At 47.0% G+C, this 24,102-nt stretch overlaps 2 protein-coding genes across 4 annotated transcripts in view, besides 1 other annotated feature; one reads left to right on the forward strand and one right to left on the reverse strand.

Annotated features, from left to right (window-relative positions):
* On the reverse strand, positions 474-5,346 carry CYTL1 (cytokine like 1). Of its 2 annotated transcripts, XM_017008299.2 has the most exons (5): positions 5,181-5,346; positions 4,129-4,243; positions 3,023-3,067; positions 2,724-2,852; positions 474-1,122 (listed from the first exon to the last, which is right to left on the reverse strand). In XM_017008299.2, exons 1-5 carry the CDS (start codon positions 5,331-5,333, stop codon positions 1,100-1,102), a joined length of 465 nt encoding a protein of 154 aa, XP_016863788.1. In that variant the 5' UTR covers positions 5,334-5,346; the 3' UTR covers positions 474-1,099. The 2 variants fall into 2 exon arrangements, with proteins under 2 accessions (XP_016863788.1, NP_061129.1); NM_018659.3 differs by lacking the exon at positions 4,129-4,243.
* STK32B (serine/threonine kinase 32B) overlaps positions 5,274-24,102 on the forward strand; it is a 481,604-nt gene continuing 462,775 nt past the window's right edge. The window contains exons 1-3 of one of the 2 annotated variants that reach the window (XM_047415924.1): positions 5,274-5,523; positions 5,811-5,884; positions 16,207-16,297. In XM_047415924.1, the coding sequence (XP_047271880.1) occupies positions 5,373-5,523; positions 5,811-5,884; positions 16,207-16,297 (316 nt within the window). In that variant the 5' untranslated portion in view covers positions 5,274-5,372. Of the gene's footprint in view, positions 5,524-5,810; positions 5,885-6,400; positions 8,473-16,206; positions 16,298-24,102 lie in introns of those variants that run through there. The other variant, XM_047415925.1, reaches the window with a different exon arrangement.
* Positions 19,503-19,552: an enhancer, noted in NCBI's record as "active region_21236". NCBI's record gives its function as "activates an Ori minimal core promoter by ATAC-STARR-seq in GM12878 lymphoblastoid cells {active_cell/tissue: GM12878}" and the evidence as "EXISTENCE:reporter gene assay evidence [ECO:0000049][PMID:35858748]".

Raw genomic sequence — 24,102 nt, forward strand, 5'->3', positions numbered from 1 at the left:
AGCATGTTTCACCTGCAGAGAGCCGGGGTGGCCACGCTGGGAAGAGTATGGACTTTGGAGTTGCACAGGCTTGGGTTCAATCCAGGCTTCCCCACTTAGCAGCCAGTGGTCTCAGGCAAGTTACTTGACCTACATGAGCCTCAGCCTCCTTCCGTGCCCATCTCCGGGTTTGCTGTGTGGAGTCAATAGTTGATATTTGTGATAAGTGCAGCAAAGCACTGCCTGTGGGTATGATGCAATCTGCTCCCAATGTATATATCCAAAGGAAACATCTGTCCTCAACAGAAATCAGAGCAATCCCCAACACTTAAAGAGCAGACATTCATGCAGGTGGATGAAGCAGAACCAGAGACACTTGAGCTTGACTGAAAGAAGGAGAAAGTTGCATCATGCTTAGAGCAGGAGTTTTCAAGAGAAGTGTGAAAAAAACACAACCCTGACATCCACCTTGGACAGATATAACAGGACACGTGTTTCTCATGTGAAGAGATTCTTTATTTGATTTTCATCACCTTTCAATGAAAGAGTGGGTCCTGTCAGCACTACGTAAAATATATATCTTAAGAGCATTAATTTCTTTTTAAATGAAAGACAGTGAAGAAAGTCTGTGTTAGAAAAAGGCATAATAGAAGCTTGGTTAAATGTAAGCAGGTTTCTATCAAGAAAGAATAAAAGTACCATTACTCCATTAAACCAGTAATAAAAACATACTATTGTGCAAGTTCTCAAAATAGTTGTTCATAAAAGTGAAGCTTGTTAGTCCTTTTCTTCTTTTTAGTGACCAAATCAACATGCTGTGTATCTAACCATCCTGGCAAGACATGAGTCAAGGGAATGAGAAGCATGGTTGCTAACTCTATGCTCAAAGGAGGTTCCTGGGTAGGAATACCAGCCCTGTTTTCCAGAAGGTAGAGAGATACATAACAGTTTCAGATACAACTAACACAAGACCTGTGAGGGTCATGGCTCTGGCCCATTAAGTCTGGGTAGCTGACATAACTGTAGTTCTCTTGGGTTCTTTCTCTGGTCTCAGTTCCCTTAGCGCTGACGATCTGGCAGGACCGTAGTCACTGGGATTGGGTATTCCAAGGCATTGCAGTCATCCAACAGGAATACCAAATCCTGAAAAAGATGTGCAATGAGCAGGAAAGTTACTGAAGGTGGTCACGGAGTCCATATGCAACTGTAGGGCTCTTGGTTATCCTCAAAGGCCATTCAGTTGTTCCTCTTTCTGTAAAAACTTCCCATGCCTTACTCTCCCCAAAAAGGGCTAGTCACTTCTTGCTTCACATTCCAATAAAATTTCATTTCCATAATTTTCACTTCACATTCCAATAAAATTTCATGTTTTATGGAATTCACACATACATTGATTGACTAGATGGATAGATGACTATGGGTGAGGGAGGGAATAAATGAATGAACCTTAGTTGCTGAGCAGCACCCTGGGTCAGGCATTGGAATGACCTCACTTCAATCAATACCACTTCTCATCACACTGTTATCATAATTGTATCAGCTTCCTATCTTCCCCCACAAACCAAAGGGAGCAGGGAGGAGGAGGAAACTGGGTGTGGGGGAAAATTCATAACACATCTTTCATACAGGATCAAGAAATTATAACTTAATAGCTAATTACTGCAGTTTCCAGAGGAGCTTACTCTGGGCTAGGCATGGTGCTAGCAATTCCATATTTAGTCACTCTACTAGGCTTCTTAGGATCAAGGGAGTTACTGCAGTGCCCACACAAGGTAAGGGTGTAATTATTATTATCCACCTCATGAGATGGGCACTACCATGTCCTCAGTTCAGGACTGAGGAAACTGTGCCTCAGAGGAGTGAAGGGACACTGCTGTGATTTGAATGTGGTCCCAAAAGTTTATGTGTTGGAAACTTAATCCCTCTGCCTTTGTAGGTGAATTAATGTAGGCTTTGACTTAATGAATGGATTAATGAGGGCTCTGCCCTTATGAATGGATTAACGTCACTACCTTGGGAGAGGGTTGCTTATTGCAGGGGTGGCTTTGTTAAAAAAGTGAACTCTCTCTGGCTCTTACCCTCTTGCTGAGTGATGACCTCTGCCATGGTATGATGCAGCAAGAAGGCCCTCACCAGATGCCAGCACCATGCTCTTAGACTACCCCCCAGCCTCCTCCATAAGCTAAACAAACATCTTTTTTTAAAAAATAACTGACCCAGTCTGTGGTGTTATGTTATAGCAGCAGAAACAGACTAAGACAGGCACTCCCACTTGGGAAGCAGGGAGATACAGACCCAAGCTCAGGGCTCTCTGATGCTGAAGTCTGTGCCCTGCAATCACATGCCTCTACTTTCCACATTTTAACTATTGCTGATTTTCTGTCCTTTTACCCTCTCCTACCGGAATCCTCTTATCAGAGCACACCTGAACCTCCTCCTGCAGAGTCTCCTCTACCCTGCCTCACTTGGCTCCTGGCAGAGTCTATCTATGTGGCTGGGGTGTGGTCCTGGGGTGTAGCCCCTGCATCAATGCGCAGCTCATGGAGACAAAGGGCCTTGTCCTGAACCCCATCACCCAACAAGGCAACCATGGTTGAGAAAGGGCTTTGTGAACTGAAAGCATCTGCGAAACATCTCTGCTCCTCTTCCTTGTCACCATCTCCTCCCAACTCTCCTCTTTGAAAAGCTCAGAAAGTCTTGGCTGATAGCAAGTAGAAAATAGACTTTCAATGGCATCCACTTACTCTCCTGCAGAACGAGTTCATGATGGTGTACAGCTTCCGTGCTTTGTCCTTCAAGGAATCTACCTGGGCCACTTTCCAACACGGGGGCGAGGCCACAAAGTCCCGCAGCTTGTCCAGCACACAGTAATTCTGGGAGTGGGCAATGGGGAGGGGGCTTGTGGGAGAAGTCAGTAGCAAGAGGAACAGGGACTGAGCTGCATAAGATCTCTCCCTGACTCTGTGCCACACAGCCAGCAGCAGAGGTTCAGACCTGAGTCCCTCAGCCCAAGACCTCCCTCCCCCAGGGAGAACCCTCTTACGTGTATGTCCAGGTACAGCCTGGGCAGGTATCTCACACATGGCTCCTGTGGAAAGGGATAAGGGGTTCTGGGATGCCCACAGGGGCATACCTGGTCACAAAAGTCTCCCTAGTGGCCCTCTCAACAGCCAGACCAGCCCAGATCCCTGGGGCCCTCCCTGATGCTACGACATGCACAGTACTTTCTTGTGTCATACGTCACACTCCTCCAGAAATGGGCGACTGCGCTTCCGGAATTAGACTTTTAGAATACAACTTTTATATCATTTGCTATGAACCAGGGAGCTGTTTTATATGCATACCCATTCAGAAATATACATACACGTATATACATAAAAGCAGTCCTATAACTGTAATATAGAAATAGTGATATATAATACAGTAATACAAGTATACATACAGAGTATATATGTACATCTATAAAACAGTTCTATAACTATTTAGTTATATAACAGTTGTATAAGTTAGTTATATAGTAACTTATATAATAATATACTTATATAATAACTTATATAAGTATATTAGCTATATAACAGTTGTATAACTGCATGTAATTATAGACATTATATATACTTACATAAGTACGATATATGTAATAATACCTATTGTTCTATAGGCATTCTATAGCTAATATGTAGTTGTATATAGTGTATAATATAGTAATATCGAAGTGCATAAATTTGCATACTTTTATATTTCTATATTGGGCTTCCGTTTTTGCGCAGGGCTGAAGGGCAAAAGCCCTCGTGCTCTGCCCTCTCAGTAATCCCCGTGTGACCATGGGCAAGTGCCTTCCTTCAGTCCTCAGTTGTGAAATTAGAGATTTAGAATGCATAATCTTTCCACTTTCTTCCCGCTCTGTGGTTCAGAGCCTCTGAACTTTTTAAACCTTTTAAAATCAGATTCCTTTAAAAGATGATTGCTGTCTATATTCGATAACAAGAAACTTGTGGGTAAATTGTGGTGAAACTGTACAACAAAATGTTAAAACAAAAATGAACTTATTTGATAGTGTCATTAAAAAGTAAGTTGCAAAACTGCTTGTGCTGTTTGACCCAAATTTTGTTTACACACACACACACACACAACACACACGTATTTGAATACCTATATGTAGACAGAAAGCTGAAATATGATCCTCCACAATGCTACGGCAGCAGCTACCTCTAGGTGGTAGAATTACAAGCAAGATTTTTTTTCTTCTTTGTACTTTATTTTCCAACTGTTCTACAAAGTACAATACTTTTATAATTAGGGAAAAAATACATGTTATTTAACTTTTAAAAAGAAAATACCAAGAAGGTGTTAGCTAGGCTTTTGTAAACCCCAACATCTGAGAAACATTATGTTTTGTTTGAAGCATTTGCAAGTGATTAAAAGACACTTTGAAACTTTACAAAAGCTTTTAATGAAGTTTAATGCATTTTGTTTCGACGGAGAAGCAGGCAGAGGCCTGGGTTCTAGTCCCCAAAAGCCCTCCCGGGTCTTCCCCTCTCTGAGTCCCCAGATCTGCCTCTGAAGATCGTGCTCACATCAGCTGGCATCTGTTGAGTACTTGTTCCTGTAGGCTTGGCTCTGTGAGCCCTGCCTGTGTTCACACCTGCCTTTGATCGTCAAAGCCACTCTAAAGGGAGGGGTGCTACTGTCATCCCATTTTACAGACAAGAAAACTGAAAGGCAGAGGCTGAGAAATTTGCCCGGGTCCCTCAGCAGATGAGGGGCGGAGGCCAGTTCTGTGAGCCACCTCTTAGGGCACACTCCTCACTAGGCTAACAAAAGCAATACACAAGCTTCATTCCTCCGTCCTCCTTAACTCTGATGGGGAGCTGTTTTTCTCCCCATCCTCCCACTCCTTTTTTTTTCTTTTTTCTTTTTTTTTTTTTTTTTTTTTTTTACATTTTACAACAGATCCTTTGATATTTGCTAGTAAGTCACAAAAATTGTGTTGTCTTTACTTTTTCTTGTGTTTTGAAGAAAGCAAACCATTGGTATCATATTTAAAAGGAGATGAATAAAACACAAATACTCCTGAGATTTACATTTACTAGAAAAGAAAAATATCCTTTTCTCTCTCTCTCTCTTTTTTTTTTCGTGTAAAGGCAAGGGTTTAAGAACTGGGTCTGCCATGCACCCCTGTCCTGAGCGGGCGGGGGACTCACCGAGGGCTCCGAGACCTGCAGGAGGTTGAAGTCGCGGGTGATCTCCTGGCTCAGGGCCCGCATGCGGGAGTAGCAGGTCGGGGGAGTGGGCCGCGCGGCGGGGGCTCCCGCCAGGAGCAGCAGCAGCACGGGCAGAGGCCCAGGCGTCCTCATGGTGCCAGGCGCTGGTGCAGCCTCGCCGACCGCCCCTTTATGCAGGCTGGGGGTGGTCCAGGGCGGCTCCACGCCTCCACTTCCTGTGGGGCCAGCGCAGGCTGCGGTCCATCCAGGGTGGCAGAGAGGAAGCCAGCACGCCCACCGGGCAGGGTCGGGACAGGAATCCTCTCAGACACGAAAGCCCCAGGTTAAGAGGAGGGGCTGCCTGGAGGAGGGGGTGACAGAGGGTGGCTTTGCCTCCCCCACACTTTCAGCAAGAAATTTCTTTCTGCACAGGGACTTTTCCTGAAAAGGCAGGAACAGCAGATGGAGAGGGGTGGGGGATAAGAGGAGGACAGAGATGGAAGGAGGGGAGGGTCAGAGGAGAGGAGTGGGCAGTCAGGCCTGGGTTTGGATGGCACGGTTTGTCAAAATGGATATAGTGCCAGGAGGGAAAGGGACTAGCAGGGGATGACTGAGCATCCCTCCCTCCAGGCAGCCCGCAGTGGAGCAGGGATGCAGAGCTGCGGTCAGGCCACCGGTGTCCTCGTCCATCAATCGCTAACCAGGTAGGTGAGCCTTGGGCCAGGGCCCCCAGCCTCTCAGAAGCCGTGTGTGTCTCTCGGTCCGGAGGATGGGCTCACTGAGCGGCCGTATGTGTGGGGAGTGTGAGTACCCCCACCCTCTTCTACCTCAAGCTCCCAGCACAGGCCCCGAGGGAGAGCAGACCCTCAGGAAGGGTTAGTTTTCAAGAAGTGCATCTCCCTCAGGGCTAACTTCCCAAGACAGTGGCAGGTAAAGGTCTAGGCTCTCCACTTAGACGCCGTGGGTGCAAAGCAGGGTCACCGCCTTCTGGCTTTGACCTTGGGCAAGTTTCTTCAGTGTTTCCTCCATCTCCTTATCTGTGAGATGAGGCTGGTGAGAGTGGCTCACTCAAAAGGCCATAGTGAGGAATCAACAGGATATAGCATGACTGAGCAAGCCTCATGCCAGGCCCATTGTGTGTTTCCAAGTGATCGGAGCTAATAGCACTGTCTCTGTTAAATCCAGCAATTGTCTCTGTGAGGTAGGTGCCACAGAAAAGAGTCCCATTTTCCAGGTGGGAAAACTGAGGCTCAAGAGTTCCAGCAACTTGCTGGAGGTCACAAAGCTGGAGGCACATGGGTTGGGATGAGACTTCAGGCCCTGTCCTCCTGCCATTCTTCCATCCCACAGGGCAGGATGGGTGAGGAGCAGGACTCTTGCAGGCAGAGATGAGTTGGGGTCCTCAGGCTGCCCAAGATCAGGCAACAAGCAAGAAGGAACTGTCAAAAGGGAGAAGATTCTTCCTTAACACTGAACATGACTTACATACCAGCAGCCACCAGGCCAGCTGCCATTGGGAACGCTATGACCCTCACAGCCAGCCAATGAAGTGAATGGGGTTATTCCCAATTCCCAGGCGAGGAAACTGAGGGCCTCGGGGGATGTGAAGCTGGGAAGAGCAGTGGAGCCCTGGAGCTATGTCTGGACTTTCCTGCCTCCAAAGCTTCCTCCAACAAAGGAGGAAAGGGGAGCATCCTGGGCAAGCTCCACATTCCCAGAACAAAACAACCAAAGATGCAGCCCACAGGGATGGGTGAACCAGAGCATGGCATCCTGGACACAGGGCTGGACTGAGGATCAACCACAGGGATGAAGCCCGGCTCCAGCTTGTCCCCACTGTATTTGCCAGGAGAAATCCCTTCTCGACCTGGCCTCCATTCCCTGTCTGTAAACAGGATAGCATCACGCTGGGCGATGTCTGAGGTTCCTTCCAGCCCCAGTGTTTTATTTATCTAGTTTCTGGTGGTAAAAGCCCTGGGCAGGGACTGTAAGCTGTGCCTTCCTGTTTTGTAGGTGAGAATGTGTTCTCTAAACACCTTTAGCAAGATGACATAGGGACCGCGGCCTTCGGGCAGAACTGTGTGTGCTTGGAGGTGGCAAGTGGAGGCACAGATGTGTTTTCTTCTGGGTGAAGGAGTCTCCACACTCCCTCCATGATAGTGCCTGGGGCATGGGCCTCCCTGGCAGAATAGCTGGCCCCAGCTGGGGACTCTAGGTCTGCTTTAAAATGCTCTAGGGCTTCTGGATGTGCTCAAGGAATGGGCTTAAATTCAGAGCAGGGAAGAAAAACAAGCCCATGGACCAAACAAGTCCTGCACCATTAGATCAAGGAGACATTGCTGTGCTGGAAAACAGGAGTCATTTGTGAGATAAATGTACTGCTGGGAGACTTGACCTTGTTCCACCCGCAATACCGTGTGTGGTTATTCATGGGACTTCTTGGGTAAATCAGCTGAGCTCAGAGCTGCAAAGAGGCTTATAGGCCTTCCCATTGAGCATGAGAATGAATGAGTAAGTGGCTGTAGCCATAAGCTGTCACTGGTACCAACTGAGATATGGTGGATGCTGGGCCCCTGAGGAGTCACAGTCAGTGGGGAGACAAGGAATGAGGCTGTTGTGCACTGGGCCAGGTGCAAGAGAATCGCCACCTCTCACTCTACCAAGCCAGGAGTGGGATGAATGGGAAGAACACCAGAGGAGAGGGTGCCTCGTGCTGATTCCCAGGGCAGGTGGAGACAAGGAGAAACAGCCTGTGCCGAGCCCAACACACACAAGCTTGCCTGCCGAGCCCAATGCATGCCAGTGTGCATCCGGGAATTCTATCTGCTTTCTGGCCCTCTCCAGGGTTCCTCCGCATCCTATGCATGATACATTGACTTGCCTCCTGGCATCTGTCTCCTTTAATGACCATGCCCTTCTCTAGGAGAGAAAGACAGTCTTTCTCATCTGTTTCTCGGCACCCAGCACGCAGCCAGGTAGAGCGGATGACCAGTAAGGTGTGGCTGAATGGACTTGGTGACTACTCGTGTTACTCAGAGATTAAGGCACAAGCCCACTAAGAAACCTACGCAGGACAGCCTGACGTGGCTCCCCACCAGGGGCTCCCTATGAGACGCCGCACTGGATACAGGCTGGTGGACCCCCGCACGTGTGTTCTGTTCTCAAATGTCTCCTTCACCACGAATCACCTGCATCCTCCCACCAGCTCTTTCTCTGCCCCCTTCTGAGGCTCCTTCAGCAGTTGGCTGCTCCGAATATTAAAAATCCAGGCAGGAATTTGCCCACAAATCAGGTAAGCCCTTGTCTCCGCCAAAAGGTCTCTTCTGGTTTTCTTAATGTCTTACATCGGGCACGGACCCCATCATGCAGGAGAGCTGAAGAGTCAGAGTTAACGAGCAGGTGAACATCTCTGAGGTAGATATCGGCCATTGCCTTTGGATGGGTTCTTCATTTGCCAGATGCATGTCTATCTATTTATCGAGAGTCTGTTGTGTGCCAGGCACTGAGATGGGTGAAAAGACAGTGAATGACAGAGTTGCTATCCTCTCGGAGGAGATTGATGAGGGCAGCTGACACTCTGGGTGAGTGGTGTGATGGCAGAAATCCTAGTGTTTCTGGAGCCCCTAACCCATCACTGGCAGCTGCTCCCTATCAGGTGAGAGCTGAGAGGTGACGAATGCAGTGGGGAAGCGGGGTAGGTATGAAGGCATGTGTGTGTGTGTGTGTGTATATGTGTGTGTTTGTGTGTGTCTCTGTGAAAGACAGAGAGTGAGGGAGATTGTAAGATATTGTGCTGCTGGCTTTGAAGATGGGAGAAGAGGCCACAAGCCAAGGAATTCAGGAGGCCTCTAGAATGCAAAGAAAGATTCCTGCCTAGGGCCTCCAAAACGGGCCCAGTTAGACCCCTTCTGAGCCCGGAATTGTAAGATCATAAATTCGTGATGCTTGGAGTCCCTCGGTTTGTGGTGATTTGTTACAGCAGCCACAGGAAACAAGCATACTGTCTCTCTGGGGTTTGGTAGAATAACAGAAATTAATGTGGGAACCTAGAAATTATCCAGATCTACCTGCCTGCTGCTTATCCTTCCTTTACAGTCTCCCTGTCAAGTGCTTGTCCAGAGTCTGCTTGCATACGTCCCTGGACAGGGAGCTCTTTGCCTCTTACAACTTCCTTCCAGTCTCTGGGCAGCTCCAAATTCTTCCCAGGGTGGAGATGAGATGCGATGACACCCTGGTGCAGGCCTTCAAATCCTGTACCTTCTTATGCAGAACGGAGGTGTGGCGATGTTAAGACCATTCTCATTCTTCAATGTCTCTACCTCCACTCCTCCCTGCCCCTCAAAACAGAGTCAACTCTCTTTTGGAGCTACCATCCCCACTTCGTGAACCCTTTTAATGAGAAGTGGCCTCAAGACCCTTCAATTACATCACGATTAACGCCTCTCTGTCTAGAGCCCTATCTCCTCCCGGTGGCCATTTCTAAAGCAGAAATTCAATCTTGCTCCTCCTTGTTTCAAAGTCTCCCTGGCTCCCAGACACAAACCCTGCTGTGTGTCCATGAGTCTTACACTATGTGGGACCCAGACTGGAACACAACCCTTCCTGGGAGATCTGGTCAGAATGAGGCTATCAGTTTTGAGCCTTTCCTATGTCAGTTAGGACTGTAGGCTGTGTGTTACAGAAAATTCAGCATGAGACACCAAAGTCTGGGTTTTCTGGAAAGTGCAATTTGAAAATATAGAGGGAATCTGGAGCTCAGGAATGGTTTGATCCAGGAACTCAATGAAGTCACTAAGGAATTATCTCTTTCTCTGTTCTATATTGTGATAGTGTTTTCATGTGTCATCTTGACTAGGCTACCATCCTCAGTTATTCTAACACTAATCCAGATGTTACTGTGATGGTATTTGTAGATGTAATTAGAGTCCTTATGCAATAAGCTCTATGTAAGGGAGATGATTTTAGATACTCTGGGTAGGCCTGATTTACTCAGTTGGAAGGTCTTAAGAGCACAGCCAAGGCTTCCCTGAGGAAGAAAGAGTTCTGCCTGTGGAGTAGCTTTGTCTGTTCTGGTGATTCCAGTTTGCACTTCCTGAAAGCCTACCCTACTACAATTTTGTACTTGGCCAATGTCCACAATCATGCAAGCCAATTCCTTGTACTAAATCTCTTAATATCTCTCTGCCACTGGTCATGCTTCTTGGGTTGAGCTCTAACTGACACATATACCATTAGCTCCATCCCAAAGCCAGGCCCTGTCCTGAGAAGTAGGGTCTCCCTTGTGACCACTGAAGAAAGTCCTGAGCTTTGTGCTGGAAGCGGACCCTGCCTATGCCCTGTCCAAGCCTCCTCAGCCCTGACATTTAAGGGCAGGTGGGCTAGGCTTCACCTGCCAGCACCACCCTCTGCGACAGGCCTTCCTCTGGCCATAGGTGCCTGTTCTGCCCACGTTAGAGCAAGCCAGAGTATTGGGGACTCTTAATGCCTCCCAGAAGTAGCCCTCAACCGATGATTCATGAAAGTTGGGAAGAGTCTGGCTTCTGGTTAAAAATCTGTATGTCATCCATGGGCAGTTACAACGGCTTTACACAACAGGCCCCCAAGGGGATCGGGGGAGCTGCACCCCCAACCCCAGGCTTGGGACACAGCCAGAGCTTTGCATGCAATCTCTGAAGGGAGTTGCTGTAAAATGCTCAGGCCCCCAGGCTGGCCAAACCCTTTACCTATTTGCCTGGCACCTTCATTCGTGGGTCTCTTTATCTGAGGACTTGGGCCAGGTCCTCCCCAGGCGCCTCTGCAGAGACCTCCGAGTATGGGAGGGGGGAATCCTTGACACCCTTCCCCCTTCTCTGACTCAGGACCCAGCACTTTTCTACTCGGGGCTGTTTCCCTGCCTCCCCCTCCGCCGTGGTCCATAGACCAGCAGGAACCTTTTGTTGGGGCTCCCTCAACAGTGAGACGACCCCCACCTCCACATCTATGCTGGTCCACTTGATCCCCCATAGTGATGTGAGGATGTGAGGAAGCACCCGTCCAGGGGGGAGGTGGAACGGGGGAGCTGGGCTTCCTCTAGTTTGGCCTCTTCCTTAGACCATTGCAGTGAGTGACCAAAGGCTTAACTCTCATTTTTGGCTCTTGCTTTAACTTGGCTGCTTAGACACCTGCAGCTCAGCTCTGTCTCAGCTCAGCTGAGCTCCTAACTCATTGGTGTGTAAATATCCCTACTCCTTTACCCTGTTGGTGGGATAACTCTGAGGTGAATTCTACAGTGTCTCCGAAAGTCCCCCAGCAGGATCAAGCTCTAGGGGTCCACAGTGAGAACTTGCTTGATGGTAATCCATGGATGTATTGGCTTTCTGTCCTTCTCTGTCTCATGTTCCCATTTCTCTACAAGTGTTTTCTGGGCTTGCTCTCAAAGAAACGTCTTGCACTCAAATCCTTGTCTCAGAGTCAGCTTTTGGGGAAACTCAAACTCAGACTATGGTACTGGCCCAACAGAGGAGTCCCCTCTAAACTATGACAAGAACAATGTGATCACACATATTGGCCTAGCCCACTAATGGGCCATGAAGGTGAGACACCCTGGGATGGGGTAAGTGAGGTGGGGCGGAGACATTACCACAATGTGAAGTACGCTTGTCTCTTTCTCTAACACAGCCCAGGGTGGTCCAGGACACCATGTCCCATGACCGACACCTCTCTTAAGCCGCCTCCCTTCCAGGCCTCCACGACTCCCTCCCAGTGCAGACCTTATCCCAGCAGCAGACATACACATGATGAGGAGATCCTTCCAGCAGATACCAAACCTCAGCTGCCCATTGCTTAAGTACCTTCTGTTTTCTTCTTGTGATCTAATATTTTCAGGATCTGAGACTTTTAAAAATCATTTCAGGAGAAAGAGCATTTAACCCTTTCCTGCAAGCTGTTCAGACAGGCATATTCCAATAAGTGATACAGGTAACCAGGGAAATACTCTTGGTTTTCAGTCCTGAGGGGTTATGGGATGTTCCCAGTTGTATTAGTCCAATCTCATGTATTAGTCCAATCCCAAGACTGGGTAATTTATAGGAAAAGAGGTTTAATTGATTCCCAGTTCTGCATGGCTGGGGAGGCCTCAGGAAACTTACAATCACGGCAGAAGGCATCTCTTAGCAAGGTGGCAGGAGAGAGAATAAGAACCGAGCAAAGGGGGAATCCCCTTATAAAACCATCAGATCTTGTGAGAACTCACTCACCATCATGAGAACAGTATAAGGGAAACCACTCCCATGATTCAGTTATCTCCACTTGTTCATGCTCTCGACACATGGGGATTATTACAATTCAAGGGGAGATTTGGGTGGGGACAGAGAGCCAAACCATATCACCAGTGAACTGTAAGAAACAGCAACCTGCTGTTGGCTGTGGCCTCTTGTGACATGGCTGGAACACAGACTATCACCTCTCCTGCCTGCTCCCTGTGTTCCCATCCTGTGCCCACTTGTGATGGAAACCCAGGCTGAAATGGACATCACCATTCTCAAATGTCCTCTGTTGCCCAACCTGCAGCCAATAGCTGTCTTTGACAAGGATTAGAAGAGTCCAGCAGCAGCTTCCATCTTTTTTAGAAAACATTGCACTAGACCACACGAAGAGTCTGAGTGCTAAGGTAAGAGCCTAGCATTGAACACATCAACGCTTGCAAAGAGGCTACCTCTTGTTCCCTCACTTCTGCCTGCATTTGAGGTCAGGAGCCACTAATCAAGCTGACAGCCAGGAGGTGTTGGGGTTGGGGTAGACTGAATACCTAGCCGGACATTGCCTCTGGTGCTCCTGTTGATATTGGTATTCCTTTGGTTAAAAGTAACACATCTTCCCCTGTTTATGTGATGTGTTTTTGAGCTTGTTGCTTTTGCTCTTGGCAAACCCAGGTGGAAAGTTGGCCCACATGGCCCAGAGTGAAGGAATGAACACAAACACCAAGGCTGGGCTTTGCTTTTGGGCAGAGATTATGAAAAGCGATTCATGTTTTAGAAGAGAGATTCCTTCATAAGCCCCCAAAACATGGATTTGAACTTTAATGAGAAACAGCAGGCAGGAGGAGCTGTGTCCCAAACATTGCCCCAGGCCTGGTACACAGAAAGGACTCAGAGAAAGTCCTTCAAGAAGGGTCCCAGCTTGTCCTAGGAGAAAAACTACAGGCTTTGGAGTAATACAGACTTCAGTTTAGATCTCACTTATGTTACCATGCAGCTGTGCAAATGTGGCCATTACTCATCCTCCTTTGATGTGGGGTTTATACCACTTATTGCACAGTTTTTGTGAAGAAGAAATAAACATGAAAAGCTGGAGTGACTGTGGTTTTGGTTTTTGTTCTTTCTGGTTATCAACCCTGTTCCATAATCCCATCTTGGTCTACTTCCTCCCTCCTGTTACAGGAGTGATGATGGGCCCATGGCTCAGGAGGGACTAATCAGTGTCTCTACCTGGTGTTGAAAGATGCACACAGGATGAGAGCTGCCCTCTCATGCCCCTACCATGGCTATGCTGTCGTTGCCAGCAGTTAAGTCTTTTGCTCTGGAGTGTGCAAGACCAGGAGGTACACAAGCAGAGCTGGGAGATGGATGGAGGAAGAGGATCTGAAGGGGCTGCATCCCTGCTTCCAGATCCAGAGGCTGAGACCTGCGTCTCCTTCTTGGACATCATCAGCTGCCCTGCGGTCATTTCTGGCTGCAGAGCTAATGCAGAGTTCCTTCAGCTTGAGCTGATTTCAGTGAGGTTTCTTTCTGTCCCTGGCAAATGAAAGAGTCTGACCAATACAGCATCCAGCAGAGTGCTCGGTGCGGAGCTGGAGTTCTTACAGCAGTTACTTTGTTTTTAGAGACAGGGCCTCCTTCTGTCACAGAGGCTGGAGTGCAGTGGAGCCATCTTAGCTCACTGCAGCCTCAACCTCATGGGCTTAAGTCATCCTCTTGCCTCAGGAGGATCTGGGACTACAGGAGTAGCTGGGACTACAGGGGCTCACCACCACACCCAGCTAACTTAGTTACTTTTCTTGGATGATTTTCTATTTGTGTGAATCCTCAGTGCTGGTCATCAAATATGTTCAGTTCTTTCTCTCCTGGTCCCAGGCCAGGATTGAGTTTCCCTGTCCCCTTGAAGTTACATACAGCAACATAGGTTATTTTATACAAAGTGACGTAAGAGAAAGTGATGGGTTTACTTCCAGGCAGCAGCTGTAAGAGCCTGTGCTTCCTTTTCTACATGCTCTATGATGCTATTGCTTTCTCTCTGCCATGGGACCACCCAAGTTTTGCTTGGGCTTTGCTTTTGGGCAGAGATTATGAAAAGCAATTCATGTGGTTGATGCTCTATCAGCCTCAAACTGCGGTGGAGAAGACCCAGAGTGATGTCCCAGACAATCTGTGGTAAGGACTAGGAGTTGTTTGTTACAGCAGTGTAATCTAGCCCATCCTGACTGTGGCAGGCAGAATTCTACAATGACCCCTGTATTAGTTCACTCTCACACTACCATAAAGAAATACCTGAGACTAGGTAATTTATAAAGAAAAGAGGTTTAATTGGCTTATGGTTCGGTAAGCTATACAGGAAGCATGATGCTGCCATCTGCTCAGCCTCAGGAAACTTACAACCTGGTGGAAGGCAAAGGGGAGCACATCGCATGGCCGGAACAAGAGGCAGGAGGTGCCACACATTTTTAAACAACCGGGTCTCAGGAGAACTCACTATCATGATGACAACATCAAGGGAGATGGTGCTAAACCATTCAGGAGAAACCATCCCCATGATCCAATCACCTTCCACCAGTCCCCACCTCCAACACTAGGGATTACAATTGAACATGAGATTTGGGTGGAGACACAGATCCTAACCATATCATCCCCAATGACCCTTGCAGAACCCCCTCCACTGAGTTGGGGGTAGGCCTATGAATAGGATGAGATCTCTCCTGTGGTTAGGTTAGTTACATGGCAAAGGGATCTTGCAGTTGTAATAAAAGTCACTTGATCAAAAGAGAGATAAGCCAGGTGATCCTAATGCAATCACACAAACACTTTTAAAACAGTAAGTGTTGCAGGCTGGGAGCAGACGAGGGAGTCAGAGAAATTTCAGGTGTGGAAAACATTCAACCCAGTGTTGCTGGCTTGACAGTGGAGGGAGACACAAGAGAACGGATGCTGGTGGCCCTCAGAAGTAGACAGTGGCCCCTGATTGACACCAGCAAGGAAATGGGAACCTGAGACCTAGGGCTGTAAGCAATGGGGCTCTGTTAACAATCTGACACAACCAGGAAAGGTCTGTTAACAACCCATACAGCCTGGAAGCCGGTCCTCCCCGACGGCTCCTGCAGACGAACCCAGGCTGTCCGACACCTTGATTTTGGCCTTGTGAGAGCCAGAGCAGGGAACTCAGCAGACTCCCACCCAGGCGCCCATCTCCAGAGCTGCAAGCTGATAAATGGTATTGTTTAAGCCTTCAAGTTGGTGGTCATTTGTTACACAGTAATATGGTTAAATTTTGTGTTCCCGCCCAAATCTCATCTTGAATTGTAATCCCCATAATCTCCACGTGTCAAGGAAGAGACCAGGTGGAGGTAATTGAATTATGGGAGTGGTTTCCCCATGCTATTCTCATGATAGTGAATGAGTTTTCATGAGATCTGATGGTTTTATAAGGGGCTCTTCCCGCTTTGCTCAGCACTCTCTTTTCTGTGTCCTTGTGAAGAAAGTGCCTTGCTTCCTCTTCACCTTCCACCATGATGGTTAAGTTTCCTGAGGTCTTCCCAGCCATGCTGAACTGTGAGTCAGTGAAACCTCTTTCCTTTATAAATTACCCAGTCTTGAGCAGTTCTTTATAGCAGTGTGAAAATGGACTAATACACACAGCAACTCATTAGAAAACCAATACATGGACTAATGCACTATTATTCGAGGTTATTCACTGAGGTTGATGATTTTTCAAGCTAGTAACACATGTGCCATATTACCCATGCTGCCTTCTAAGGATGTGTCAATTTCTTTATCAGATTTGGGATTTCCTGATAGCAGGAGCTGAGCTGGTCATCTCCGGATCCCCCAGACCTAGCATGGATACTGAATGGAATACTTTTAGAAGATGTGAGTAGCACCTGGTAACATTGTGAAGTTGATGAAACTTTTCTGCCATGCTGTCATATCCTGGCATGATAGTCTGGGTGCCTGGAAACGAACAATAGCTAATGTGGATACAGTGTGAGCCGGGTGTCTGGTGCTTGGGGCACTAGGCACTTTAACCAAAGCAATCCTCATAAAAACCTTACAAGGTAGGAGTTGGTATTATCACAGCCTCAATTCACAGAAGAGGAACCAGAGGGTGGGAAGTTAAGTAACTTGCTCAAGGTCATACCATTAATTAATAGTGGAGCCCAGGTTCAAACCTAGACAGCTAGGTTCAATCTGTGTTCCCAGCCACCACATCTTCCTGCCACTTAAGACGAGGGACTCAATACATATTCACTGAAGGCAAGAAGGAAAAAAAGTAATTTACATGAATGCTAACAAGCTGTGTGTATTAGGTTCTCCTAAGAAAAAGAATGTGTGTATGTATAGACACATGCACACACACACACATCTATACATATACATGGAGAGAGAGAGAGAAGGCTGATTTTAAGTAATTGAGTCAATTAAATAATTGATTTTAAATAATTGTGGAAGCTCAGCAAATCCAAATTTTGCAAGGCAGACTGACAGGCTGGAGACCCAGGGGAGAGGTGATGTTGAAGCTCTAGTCCAAAGGTTATCCAGAGGCTGAATTTTCTTGCTCTTGGTGGGTCTCAGACTTTTTCTGAGCCTTCAACTGATTGGACGAGGCCCACCCACATTATGGAGTGTCATCTGCTTTATTTAAAATGTACTGATTTAAATGTTCATCTCATGTTAAAAACCCCTTCACAGAAACATCTGGAATAATGCTTGACGAAATACCTGAGTACAGACTGTGACCCAGTCAAGCTGACACATGAAATTAACCATCACACTGTCGGACTCTGGGCAAGTGCCTCACTTATCTTTGAACTTTACTTTCCTTGGAAAATGAGGGATGACTTTATTTAGAGGGTTTGAGGCCAGTCTGGGCAACATAGTAAGACATCATCTCTGGTATAAAAAAACAAAACTTAGCTGGGTATGGTGGCATGTGCCTGTGGTCCTAGCTACTGGGGAGGCTGAGGCGGGAGGATCACCTGACTCCAAGAGGTCGAGGCTGGAGTGAGCAGTGATCACATCACTGCACTCCAGTCTAGGAGACTCTGTCTCCAAAAAAAAAAAGATAAATATGTTTGGAGTCTGTTCTCCATTATAAATTTGGTGATTCATTGCTTTTAAGGGGCCAATCATGAGAATGCCAAGTCCTCTTTGCACAGGGATGTAAGAAGCTGCACGTTACAGAGGCCCAAATGTGGGTTCATGGGCAGGTCGGGGTCCCACTTAGCAGGCCTGTGATATCAAGAAGGTGCTTGACACCACGGCCTCAGTCCCCTCCTCAGATCCCTCACCCAGTTGTGGGTGTGAGGATTTAAGTGGAGGCCCAGTTTCAGACAGAGTGGCTGCTCACTCAAGGCTGGTCGCTCTCACCAGATCTGTGTCTATAGAGCACTTAGAAAATTCCCCAACTGGGAAACAGATACCACCTTGCATTACAGACTGTATGTTTTTTACCCTTTGTTTTGCTAATAGAATGCTGAATGATTCACCAAGCAGACTTTTTAAAACAAATTAACAGAATTGACTTAGCTAAACAAATACGTTTTTTGTATCAGTTGCATATACAACGATATATAGGTCCTTTGAAATTAGAACTTGAGACTAGTAGCCAGTTATGACTCCTGAGCTCCTAGAAAGAAAAAAAAAAAAAAACCTGGCCGGGCACAGTGGCTCACACCTGTAATCCCAGCACTTTGGAAGGCCAAGACGGGCGGATCACTTGAGGTCAGGAGTTCGAGAGCAGTCTGGACAACGTGGTGAAACCCCGTCTCTACTAAAATACAAAAATTAGCCGGGCGTGGTGGTGCACAACTGTAGTCCCAGCTACTCAGGAGGCTGAGGTGGGAGAATTGCTTCAACCCGGGAGGCGGAGGTTGCAGGCAGTTAGCCGAGATTGTGCCATTGCACTCCAGCCTGGACGGCAAAGCAAGACTCCATCTCAAAAAAAAAAAAAAAAAAAAAAAAAGAAGAAAGAGAAAGAAAAGAAAAAAACCCCTAAACTGCATTTTCCATCTTTCATGATTTCTGTTATAATGAAAGATGACCAGTTTCTAGAGCTATATTATTTTCCCCCATACCTATGAAAAAAAATTTTATTGTAGTAAAATATGCATAATATAAAATTTATCATTTTGACAATTTTTACAATTTGGTGTTAAATACATTCACATTGTTGTACAACCATCACCACCATCTACCTCTAGAACTTTCTCATCTTCCCAAGCTGAAACTCTGTCCCCATTAACCACTAACTCCCCACTCCTCGCTCCCTCCAGACCCTGGCAAGCACCCTTCTATTTTCTGTCCTTTAGAGGCCCAGTTTGATTTAAAGGTTTAAACTCAAACCAGACAGTTGAACTCTCTGAGCTCACAGACCGGCTCTTTCCCTTCCCAGCTGTGTGACTTTATCTCATTTCTTCATCTATAAAATGGAGGCCACACTTTTACCTCTCACATGGGGCTGAGAGAGGATTAAATGGTCAATATTTCCAAAGGCCCGAGGCTACTGCTGGTGTAAGGTAAGTACTGGAGATTTGCTATTATTATTTATGTAACTTCCAGCCCCACAAACACAGTCCCCAACCACCAAACACCCCACACACTAGCCTATAAGGGCCCCAGGGTCAGCGGCCTCATGGAAGGAAGAGAACGCTGGCGGAATGAGGGAATGAATGATGCCCTTGATTGCCTTTCCACTTACAACACGGTAGGTGATACGGCGTCCACAGCTGCAGCACGGTCACCATAAACAAGCATTTCCCCAGCTGGGCCATGGCCCGTGGAAACCCTGCTTCTCCCTCCAGGTTCCTGTGGACTCCAGCTTCTGGGAAGGTAAGGCTTCCTCCCTTGGGAAGCATTTTGAGTGTTTTGGCCTGTGTCCTTTCAGGAAGCCCCGTAGCCAACACACACCCCAGGGCAGGAAGTGGGTGAGAACAACTTAGACCTTGGACAGAAAGCAATTCGGAAACTGGCTCAGCCTCTTCTCGTTGCTGGCACGGCAAGCAGTGTTAAGTGTGAGCAATTTTTTGTTTTGTTTTGAATTTGAATGGTTCCTTTTTCTCCTTCACGAGGAGGCCATGGTTTCTGAGAGTGGGGCTTGCATGTGGCAAAGAATAAGGATGGCAAGAAGGGCGGAAGCACCCCTGAGCACTGCAGCTGCTACTTCCAGTGCACTCTCTGTTTACAACCGCCCTGGGAGATGAGAAGAAAACCTCCAGATTATACTTGAAACGCTGAGGCTGGAAGAGGTAGACAAGATGTGGCGAAGTCACACAGCTGCCAACTGATGGGCTGGCCTGCTGGATCCCAGAGCCAACATTCTTTGTGGTAGGGGAGGTGTCTAAACCATCTTTTTTTGCTGGGGACATGCAAATACATGGAAACTCACAACGGCTGTGTACTTCTCACAAACTTTCAAAAGGTGTTTTGTGAATTGAGCTAAATTCACTGCTGTGCAGGAGATGTGAGGCCCTAAACATGGTATAAAATTCTGTAACGGACACTTTACAAAAGAAGAAGGAAAGGGAAAAAAGCAGATTGAGAAATGCCACATACGTTTCCAGGCGGGGACATAGATTTCATGCCGTTACACAGCTTTCCTAACTCCATTTCACCTAGCTGGAGCTTTGGACTCTTACGTAAAGTTCCTTATTCATTTGTTCAGCAGAGATTTATTAAGCAGCCACTGCGTCTCTTGCAACTACAGAATCAGTCTTTTGAAAAATGAACCAGAAAATGTATGGAAACTAATCCTGCCTTTCTCACCAAACACACTGTAGGGATAACCTCTCTCATACGTGGGCGTCAAATGTTTACAAAACTTGTGCCTTCCATCTGTCACTTTCCTGCTGGCCGCTGGGCCTCCGGACACACAGTTCCCCTGCCTGCAGCACTCCAAAAATATTCTATGCGCTCCCCTCCCTACAAATATTTGATGAAGGAATAGCAGAAAGAACACATTCTTTCCATGGTTTATATAAGCACCACACTCCTGCCAGGGCTATCTGTCTCAGCTTTTTCCTTTTCACGATGAATCGTACCACAGTTTGTGCCTGATGCTCTGCAGAAATTGATCTTAACACTTAAAAACAACTTTGCCTGTTGGGTACATGTCAGATGTTTTACAGAGTAATCTTCACATTTTCCTGCTTGAGCGATATATTCAGACATCCCCACACTCATTCAGCTGATGGGAATGTTGGTCTCAGCCCTTGAACAAATCAATCAGGTAGGCTGGAGGGGCATCCTGGATTCTTCTCCAGGCTCCATCGTCAGACACTGGTTCAAAATGAATGTTCATGGCAGCCTGGTCATAGAAGTCCTGGGGTAATGTCAGTAGCACTTGATTTACTGGGCTTTTCCCTGCTGGGATCTGCTCCCGGCCACTCCACTGGCCATCAACGACTTCCTTTGAATGGTGCTAACAATGCATTTTCACGGTTAGATGTAGATTTTGTTCTGGAGTCCCAGAAGTACCTCCCTGATGTCTGGAAACCTGTGCCCCATGGATTGGCTCCAATGGGGAGGTATTTTAGAGGAATGTGGAGCCCTGCAGGCCTTGGCTCGCTATGCTTGGTCCAGCCACTTACCAGCAACAGAACTTCAGAACCACGTTGCTTCATAGCATCATGAAGTTTTTAAGCACCACACACCTTTTCCTTTTCATTTTATCCCCAGCACCTGGCAGTGCCTGTTTCATAGTCTGCATGTACATTCATTGAAGACATGAATCTGTGAATCAACTTCTTAGCCTTATTCTCACATATTATAATGGAAAAATAATCTTTCTAGCTTGAGTAAATGATTAAGAAGATGTTTGCAACATGCTTAATTATAGAGCTCGACACATAGTAATTGCTCAGTGAGTGGGTAATGGGCTGGCATATCACACAGCAGGAGAGGCAGGAGGGATGAAAGGGGGACGATATGCTCGACTATGCCTGGCTCCTGAATATTTTGGGTGAAGACCCCCACCCACACATGTGCCTGCACCTAACCATAGGCTGCCCAAAGTGCTGCCCTGGCAGGTGAGGCACTCTGCTCTTTGTCAGAGTCAGGGATTAGGATGGAGTCGCTTCCAGATGAGGAGACGGTGGAGACTGACATTGGAGGCTGGGCGATGGACTTCCCAGCAGAGATGTGCATGCATACTCAACGAGCTGAAGGATCTTTTTAAACATTTGTATTCAAAGTCTGTACAATTAGAATGTATTTTCATCAGAAATGCAAATTAAAGGATCTGTAAATTTTTTTTTTTTTTTTTTGAGGGACGAAGTCTCGCTGTCACCCAGGCTGGAGTGCAGTGGCGCGATCTTGGCTCACTGCAACCTCTGCCTCCCGGGTTCAAGTGATTCTCCTGCCTCAGCCTCTTGAGTAGCTGGGATTACAGGCGCCCGCCACCACACCCGGCTAATTTTTGTATTTTTAGTAGAAACAGAGTTTCGCCATGTTGTTCAGGCTGGTTTTGAACTCCTGGCCTCAGGTGATCCACCGGCCTCGGCCTCCCAAAGTGCTGGGATTACAGGCGTGAGCCATCGTGCCTGGCTAAAAAAAAAACTTTAATGCTTTTTTATCTATGCTTTCAAAAAGTGTAACTTCCTTACCTTTAACAAATACCACTCCTGCCTAGCTCAAAGTTTGTGTAAAGAGAGAATAATACTATAGATGTGAAACCAATCTGAAAGCTGCTGGGTGCAGTGTGCACGGGGACTATGCTTGTTTTGTCCCCCACTGAGTACCCAGCACTGAGCATAGCCCTGACATGTAGTAGGTGCTCCGTGAATACTGGCTGGAAAAAATGCTTCAGTCATCACATTTGCACTGGAAATCATCATCCTCGACACAGCAGGCCCCTTTTGGTTCTGATTATGCAAATTGGGTCCAGGTGTCTCTCTGAAGTCAGAAAATAAACTCCACATTGCAGGCCAGAGTAGAAAATGCTGCCGTTTCTTGCTGAGTCATCAAGGAGGCCTGAGAAGTTAAGATTAGGTTCTGCCAGCAACAGTTCACATGTAGCTAGAAGGAACTAAAGCTTGTGTCACTGGTATATTGAGGCAAAAGCGTCCAAAATTCCACTTGAAACACTGTTTTATAATTACATATTAAATACCAAGGCAAGGGTGGATTTTTTTTTTTTTTTTTTTTTTTTTCGAGATGGAGTCTTGCTCTGTCATCCAGGCTGGAGTGCCGTGGCGTGATCTTGGCTCACTGCAACCTCCGCCTCCTGGGTTCAAGCAATTCTCCTGCCTCAGCCTCCCAAGTAGCTGAGATTACAGGCGCCCACCACCACACCCGGCTAATTTTTGTATTTTTAGTAGAGACGGGGTTTCACCATGTTGGCCAGGCTGGTCTTGAACTCCTGACCTCGTGATCTGCCCACCTCGGCCTCCCAAAGTGCTGGGATTATAGGCATGAGACACTGTGCCCGGCCAAGGGTGGAATTTAAAATTGCACACAACAGCTCTCTGGCAAGAGTGTGGATGCATCCTGTGGAAATTGGCATTTTTGAGGGTCTGGAGCAGGGTGTCTGAGCTATTGACCCTATTGACACTTTGGGAGGGATATTTATTTGTTGTGGGTGGCTGTCTAGTGCACTGTAGGATGCTGAGCAGCACCCCTGGTTTCTATCCACTAGGGCCAGTAGCACCACTTCACGCCATCCTAGTCACGACAATCAAAAATGTCCCCAGACATTGCCAAATGTTTCCTGGGTGGGGGATCACCCCTGTTGAGAAGTACTGGGCAACAGCAATATTTCTCATGCTAACAAATCAGCACCCATTCATTTTTATTAAGCCCCTGGTAGGCGGCAAACACTCTATTGGGTACTTTGATTCAAAGCTCACAGATAGGAAAAATGGTCCCCACTTTACAAATGAAGAAACTGAAAGAAAGTAACTTGTTCAAGTTGAGTGATTGAATAAATTAATGAATGTCTGACAGCTAGTGTGGTCTTGGTCACAACCAGCTCTTCTGGTTCCCTAGCTGGAACCCTGAGCCCTCCAGAACTGATTCACTGCTAATAAATATCAATTACTCTACAGATAAAGGAAGTGGATTTGGACTGAGGGTGCCTGGAGGACTCTGAGAAAGGGCTCTGACAAATGAACTTCCCCAAAGCAAACCCTCTTTCCCGTCTGTGTTAAAGTTGGTGAAGATAAAGATGGTTTTCTAGATAGTGGCTCTGGGGACACACTGAAGACTCAAAGATTAAAATGTCACCATGTTTCAGCCTGTTTCAGCTTCTACTCAGCTATGACACTGCTTTTATTTACCACTGCACTGTTTTCTTCATTGGGCTGTGAGGGTGGGCATGGGGACCTGTTATTCATTTCTGTTCCTGCTGGTGCCTGGCATGTAATGGGCACATGTTTTTTGGGTGAATGAATGGATAACTGAAGGGACGGAAGGGGGAGGGAGTGTGTGTTACCTCTCTTTGCTCCCTCTAAGACCTCCCCACCCGTCCATCCTTGCTTTGCCAGACCCTTGGCTAAGAAAATGCCAGCCAACACTGTGTTCTCAAGTGACTCTCAGTTCTTAGAAACAAAATGATGGAATTTCAGTATTGGAAAAATGCTTAGACATGACCTCATCCCTACCCAAGCTGGTTCATGAATCATCCCCATAAAATTCCTGGCATGCCAATTAAAACCATTCAGCTGTTCATTCATTCTTTCATT

This window comes from Homo sapiens, chromosome 4, assembly GCF_000001405.40.
Source record: "Homo sapiens chromosome 4, GRCh38.p14 Primary Assembly".
NCBI classification, from domain to species: domain Eukaryota; kingdom Metazoa; phylum Chordata; class Mammalia; order Primates; family Hominidae; genus Homo; species Homo sapiens.